The sequence below is a fragment of the Homo sapiens genome, chromosome X (genome assembly GCF_000001405.40).
Source record: "Homo sapiens chromosome X, GRCh38.p14 Primary Assembly".
NCBI classification, from domain to species: domain Eukaryota; kingdom Metazoa; phylum Chordata; class Mammalia; order Primates; family Hominidae; genus Homo; species Homo sapiens.
Window position 1 is genome coordinate 11,732,376 of NC_000023.11, and position 7,034 is coordinate 11,739,409.

General features: G+C 40.3%; 1 long non-coding RNA gene across 1 annotated transcript; it reads left to right on the top strand.

Annotated features, from left to right (window-relative positions):
• Window positions 1-313: 313 nt before the first annotated feature.
• Window positions 314-2,978, top strand: LOC105373131 (uncharacterized). Its single transcript, XR_950513.3, has 3 exons — window positions 314-358; window positions 526-695; window positions 2,058-2,978. It is a non-coding gene; the product is annotated as an uncharacterized LOC105373131 (long non-coding RNA).
• Window positions 2,979-7,034: the final 4,056 nt, after the last annotated feature.

Here is a 7,034-nt window from a genome sequence, read left to right on the forward strand (position 1 = left end):
ATTAGAGGAAATTTTGAATGATTCAGGGCCCTGCCTTCCTACAAATAGTTTTGACTTTTGAAGAAAATGTAAATTAAGGAAGCGTTTTCAGAGAGATTTCTTTGTTCCCACTTCTGAACCCCCTAGCTGCGTTCTATTCTGGTTCATCGTCCACATGATCTATTTAAAAGAGTTAACTGAATAAGTTACTTGAGGAAACTTGCAGAGAATACTCATACCATAATAGAAGACAAAATTTCTGAAGGTAGTGACTATAACTGTGACATCACAAGAGGTAGAGTTACTAGCAGGGTGTGGGTTCCTCTGCAGGTCCACTGAAACCGTTTCGTCCCCTCCATCAGGGCTGCATCTTCGCCTAGTAAGAGAAAGCGGTTATGGAAATCTGGACTGTTTTGATTTTTAATGTACCAATTAGAGGAATTACCTTCTTCTATAATTTATGAGTCAGAAATCGAAGCAACTTCATACATTTTTTAAAAGTTGTAAAATTCTTTTTTCTAACTACTTTCCATATTCTCTCATTAGACCTGCTTTTTTCTCTAAAACAAAATGATGTCTGGAAGACTAGCTGGCATGAGTAGATTCAAACATCTGTGTACCATCTGAAGCAAACTCCAGACCAATCATTTGAAGTGAATTGGGCAGAAGACTCACAAAGAAAGTGGGTTGTACAGAGCATGGAAGTCCCGGCAGAGGTTAGATGTTTTTGTTTTCTGTTCTCTCCTGTATCTCTTTTTCTCCACAGATTTCTCTGTTCTCTTCAGCCCCTCCTCCTTGCTCCTGTTTCTAGTTTTAGAACAGCATATTATAGTTTGGTGAAAATGAATACTTTATTCCACAAATGGCAGCTATTTTTAAAATGTTTTTTGTACAAAATTCTTACCTTATGAATTTGCCTCTCCTGTGCACACATTAGGGTACAATAGTTTAAACTAGGGTTTCTTAATCTTGGCACTGATGACACTTGGGGCTGGATGACTCTCGTGTGTGGAGGATTGTCCTGTGTACTGTAGAATGTTGAGCATTCCCTACTAGATGCCAGGAGCATCCCCAGCTCCACTGTGACAACCAAAAATGTCTCCAGATATTGCCAAATGTCCTGGGGACAGGGGCACAAAACAACCATCAGTTGAGAACCACTGATTTAGAAGAATGTGGATCTCTTATTTTCCCAGGGTTACAATGAGTATAATTAATGAAAAATATAAAATTTCTACTAAAAGTGTCATGCTGTAGCTGGATATTTTGATTCTTAAGTGGGACCTGTTTTCACATCATTTCAAGTGCCTTAACAGTCTGTCTAGCCTAATTAATATGTAGCCCTTATAATGTTAAGATATTGTCCTATAAAGTGCATGTCACTGTCAAGCTTGATGCTCATGCATGGTTGAGCCACAGCTGTAATCACTGTTTCTCTCATTGCTCACCCTGTATACCAACCTATGTGACAGTCGCAATTGCAACATCTAGACTTCCTCCCCTGCTCTTTGAAAGTAACCTCATCTTCTATTTTCCATTCTGTTTCAGTCTCAACTTTTTGTTTTGTTCTCTAGCCAATTTCTCCTTTTTCTCAGGCTTCCATCAAGAATCCCTGCTGTCTTGGGTTTAAGCAGCCCATTGTATGGAACAGTATCAAAGGCTTTCTGAAAATTGAGATTATCCATGTTGTATGAATTATCATTTTCCAATGCATCTGTAAGCAGCTCCAAAGTATACAAAGAAGACAGTGAAGTTAGATAGAGAGCATCTTTCTACATAAAGCCCCTCACTCTTTGTCTTCTTGAGGCCAAAACACCCATCGGAAAGGGAGAAAGGTGCTTGTTGAATATGTTTTGCATGCATTCCAAATATTTGTATGTTTGGCTTCATGTTGACAGCCACCTGGAAGGCTGATAAAATTTTTCTTCTGGATTATTTGGGAGTGTGTAGCCAGAGCTTCTGTGTCTTCACTGACTGTGGCTTATTCAGAGTTAATTAATATTTATTGAGTCCTTTAAAATATCTATTTGATCTTCATCAGCATCACATAAGGTATATGTTTTGTTCCCATTTTACAGATAAAAGAAATGGGTCTTGAAGACTTTGGTCACAAGATAAGTGGCAGACTCCAATTTGAACTTGGGAGTTCTGACTTCGACTCCAGTTTCCCTCCTCTACAGCATAGGGAAAGTACCCAGGGTCCTGTGCCCAAGACATGAGTTTTAATCCACATTAAGCAACTCCATCCTCACTACTCGAGATATAATCTTTGGACCAGCAACTTGAACAGCATCTATGTGCTTGTTAGAATTGCAGAGTCCTGACCCCCACCTAAGATCTACTAAATCAGAATCGGCACTTCAACAAGAACCCCAGATGATTCCTATGTGCACTAAATTTTGAGAAGTACTGCTGTTCAACTCCGTGAATATGGAAAGATAATGACCCAGTTGTGTCACTATACTGTGTCCCTTTGTAACACCACGTTCCCCAGCAGCTTAGCCTCTTCCTGATGCCCCTGCCTGCCTTCCTCTACTATGGTACTCTTATATCCTCCTATGGTACTCTCTAACATTCTATCTTATATTTTAGGCCAGAAAAGACCAAAAGTTTTTTACCTCCTTTGCCAACACAAAGTTCAATTCACAGTGGTTTCCTAGAGCATTGTGTTGAACAGGATTCTGAGGCTCTGTCTGGAGAGGCTGGTAAAAGTCTGATGTTTGCCATGGGTGTAGGAAGTGAACGAGCAAAGCATGTATGCCATGGATTTGCCATTCTTGTTCTGGACACTCCTTTTCTACTTCTCACTATCAATGCTTATGTATTTATTACCTCACTGTCTCAATGCCATGCTAAGTAACTGCACAGAAAATGTGACGAGCCAATTCCAGCTAATGGTTGATCAGTGACTATGATTTATTTATAATTCTCAAGTAACTGTGCATTTTGATAGGGCACTTTAATTCTTCGCAAAAATAAAATTAATGGTAGAATTTTTACTCATTGGGCATTTTGTCATTTTTCAATTCCATCCATTTAAATAAACTTAGGATCACAATATGCTGTTTGGGACCTCAGTTCCCCTACCTTCTTGTATATTGGCAACATTGGTGAGGAAAGGCATCCTATAAAAAAGATAATGGACCAGTTTGTGTCCATCGACACCACCAAAGAGAAAGGAGCAAGACCTGCTTAAGGACACCAGAAATGGAGGACTGTGGGGAACAACTGAGCCAGTTACAAAGACTGGCCCTACCAGGAGCAGTTCAGCAACTCAGACCCAGCCGCAAAGGGCACTGACAAACCACAGGAGACTGAACGATTGTAATTACTGATCACATTTGCTTAGAGTGTTACCATGTACAAAATGCTTTCTCATTTTTCTGTATTGATTGATCCTCTGAGTTATTTGGCTAAGCCTTACTTGTAATCATTGTTTTTTAGATTCCCCATATGCTTTCACTGGGGTTGGGGGCAGGATCACTGAATGTGATTCTTGGAAGGTGGGTTTTTATGAAAGAAACAAGATTTATTGAGAATCCTGAGTCTGGTCTAGGAAGTGAATGGGTAAACTATGTCCAAATAGTAGTAGGCATACAGGGTTCACGACGACTATAAAAGGCCAAGTAGTGTTTACACAGCCCTTTCCATCAGGAATGTGTGAGAATGTAGCTAAATGTGGATGGGATTGTGCCATCTGCCCCTTTAGTCAGGCAGTCAACAGACACCTGGGGACATGTACAGCTACAAGGAAACAGCACTGCACTAGACCAGAGGAACATAGATGACTAACACAATTTCTTCCCCTAGAAATTCACCATATGCCTTCATTCAGCTCCAGATTCTCTTCTTTCATTACCTGGATGTCATATGGTTCTCTTTTCCTTGCTAATCCACATTCAGGCTGATTATGAAAGTCTATGTAAAGACATTTGCTTTCTTTTGTTTGATTCATGAATGCTAGAGTTCTGTTTCTTGGCCTTTAGCTCATTAACATTCAGTTTCTAAAGTACAAGTGCTTTCTTTGCAAATTTATGTTTAATTACATGATGACTACATGAATGCATTCTCATTTGTAAGATAGTCACCCATACAGCTTCATTAATTCATCTTTGATATTCTTGCCTCCTGTACCCACTCTGAGGCTTCTCCACAGAGGTAATGACTGTTCTCAGTTATTCTGAACTGTTCAGCATCCCTCTAACAATGTCTGTTCGTATTTGCAACTCACCAAACACTTGGCTTGGCTCATTTTATCTATCCATCAATACCTTCTACAAAACGCTTTCCCTGACTGTGGTTAGAGAATGACAGCGCCTCTCTGGCATGAAAGAGCAGAGGACTGGGGGCAAGGGGCACTATCTCCAGTACCAACTGTTCCCTCAAAGATTCTCCTTTCCTATAGCCTTTAGTGAGCCTGTCATTTTCACCTCTGCAGATTCCCCTGAGCAGCTACAGGCCGGAGTTACAAGCTTACCCTGGTTGCAGAGTTCTGCCTTGCTGCAGTTGGGTTGTTTGACCATATTGTCACAGCTACGCTATTTTAGGGTAGGCTTTAGAAGGATGATAGTCAGATGACATGGAGCTAAGCTATACTAGGTGCCCACTTTCAGGAGATGGTTGACTAAATTCAAACCTGCTTTGACTAGTGTTTCTCTCCCTTCTTAATCTCCCCACCCCCTGCCCAAGTGAAACTTGGTTATGGTTCTCTAATGCCTTAGGTTTCCTTACCCTTGGGCATGCCTAGCTGCCCCTTTTCCCTTTTGTCTTAGAATATTTCCTTTCATTTTTTTCCTTATTTGAGAACTAACACACTGCTAGAACTTTTTCAGTGTTTGCAGAAAGGTGGTGTATGTCAAAAGATGCTGATGTCTAAAAGATGAAGATGGTAAAATTGCTAGATGGGACCCAAGGGCCAATATGGCATGCTGGTTCCTTCCACCAGTTTCAATGATGCTCCGGTCACTTGCAATGAGATGCAGTTGTAAGGTAATAGATGTGGGCTTGTCTGTAAGTAGATTGTGTCTATTTGTTTACTTTATAAAACTTTATAGAAATATATTCCACTGAGATGGGCTTGGATATTGTATTGGGCTGACTCATGATGCCAGCAGTTATAATGAGACCAGTAAATTTATTAAATTCCTGAGGCTAGACTGTTGCTGCCTTCTCTATGTTATACCATGTATTAGTTTCTTATTTGCTATAGCAAACTACCAAAAGTTTAGTGGCTTAAAATAATACACGTTTATTCTCTTGCAGTTCTGGAGCTCAAAAGTCTAATATGAGTTTTAATGGGATAAAATCAAGGCAGTTTTTTGCTCTGGTTCCTTCTTCCATCTTCAAAGTGCATCACTCCAATTTCTGCTGCTGTCATTCCATCTCCTTTGTTTATTGACTTTCTTGCCTCACTCTTATAAGGGTCCTTGTGATTACATTGGACTCATCCACTTTGGTATGCCCAAGTAGGGAGGTCAAGAGAAGGCTCTGACTGGACACTTGGGAGTAATAAAGATACGGAAAACAACTGAAGCCATATTGGATGATGGGACACTACATAGAGCAATGGTTCTTAATCTTTGAGGAAAACTGAATGAACCCTAATGATCTTTGCTTCAGAAAAATGCAAATTCAGACACAATTTCACATGCAATTTTAGCGGCTTAAGTATTCTCTAGGCATTCATGAATGCGAGGTTAAGAACTCTTGATGTATAGTTATCTAGGATAACTATTCAGTTGGATCCTTACCTCATAGCTCTCACCAAAATACATTCCAATGGCTCAAGGATTGGATCATTATCAAAGAAAACATGGAAGAGTTTAAAAAATCTTGTGTGTGATAGAGGCGTTTCTAAGCATAAGACAAAAATCTCTAACACATGAAAGGAAATATTAAAAAATTCAACCACACAGGAATGTGTGTGTGTCTGTGTGTGTTTGTATTCTGCATGGAAATAAAATCATAAACAAAATTAGAAGGGAAATAACAAAATGAGAAACACTTTGCAACTCATACCAAAGCCGAAGGGCTTTCTTAACAGTAAAACATTCTTAAATTGATAAGAAAAAGACCAACAGACTAACTGAATAAATGCGAAGAGCAAGTTCACAGAAATTGATACAAAAACTTTTTTGAATCTTGAAAAGATGCTCAATTTCATAAAATGCCAGTTTCTTTTTTTTTTTTCTTTTCTTTTTTTCCTTTTTGAGACAGGGTCTTGCTGTGTCACCCAGGCTGAAGTGCAGTGGCACCATTATGACTCACTGCAACCTCTGCCTCCGGGATTCAAGATTCTCATGCCTCAGCCACCCCAGCAGCTGGGATTACAGGTGCACACCACCATGCAAAGCTTTTTTTTTTTTTTTTTTTTTTTTTTTTGTATTTTTAGTAGAGACAGGATTTCGCCATGTTGGCCAGACTGGTATTGAACTCCTTGCCTCATGTGGTCCATCCATCTCTGCCTCCCAAAATGCTGGGATTACAGGCGTGAGCCACCATGCCTGGCCAAGAGAAATGCCATTTTCAAATATTAATTTGAAAAATATGAAGACAACTGAGCACAGTCTTAGTGATAGTAGAGGAAAAATTCCATACATATGCTGCTACTGGGAATGCAGTATGTACCACCTCTAGCCCAGTGTTCATCAAACTGAAATGTGCACACAGATTACCTGGGAATCTTGTTAAAATGCAAATTCTGGTTCAGCTGGTCGGGGGAGGGGCCTGAGATTTTGCATTTGTTTTTGAGATAGAGTCTCACTGTGTTGTCCAGTTTGGAGTGCAGTAGCATGATCACAGTTCACTGCAGCCTTGACCTCCTGAGCTCAAGTGATCCTCCCACCTCATCCTCCCTCGTAGCTGGAACCACAGGTGCATGCCACCACACCTGGTTTATATTTCTTGTAGAGATGGGTTTTTGCCATGTTGCCCAAGGTGTTCTCGAACTCCTGGGCTCAAACGATCTGCCCACCTCCCCTTGCCAAAGTGCTGGGATTACAAGCATAAGTCACCACACCTGGCCCGAGATTTTGCATTTCTAACAAACTCCCAGG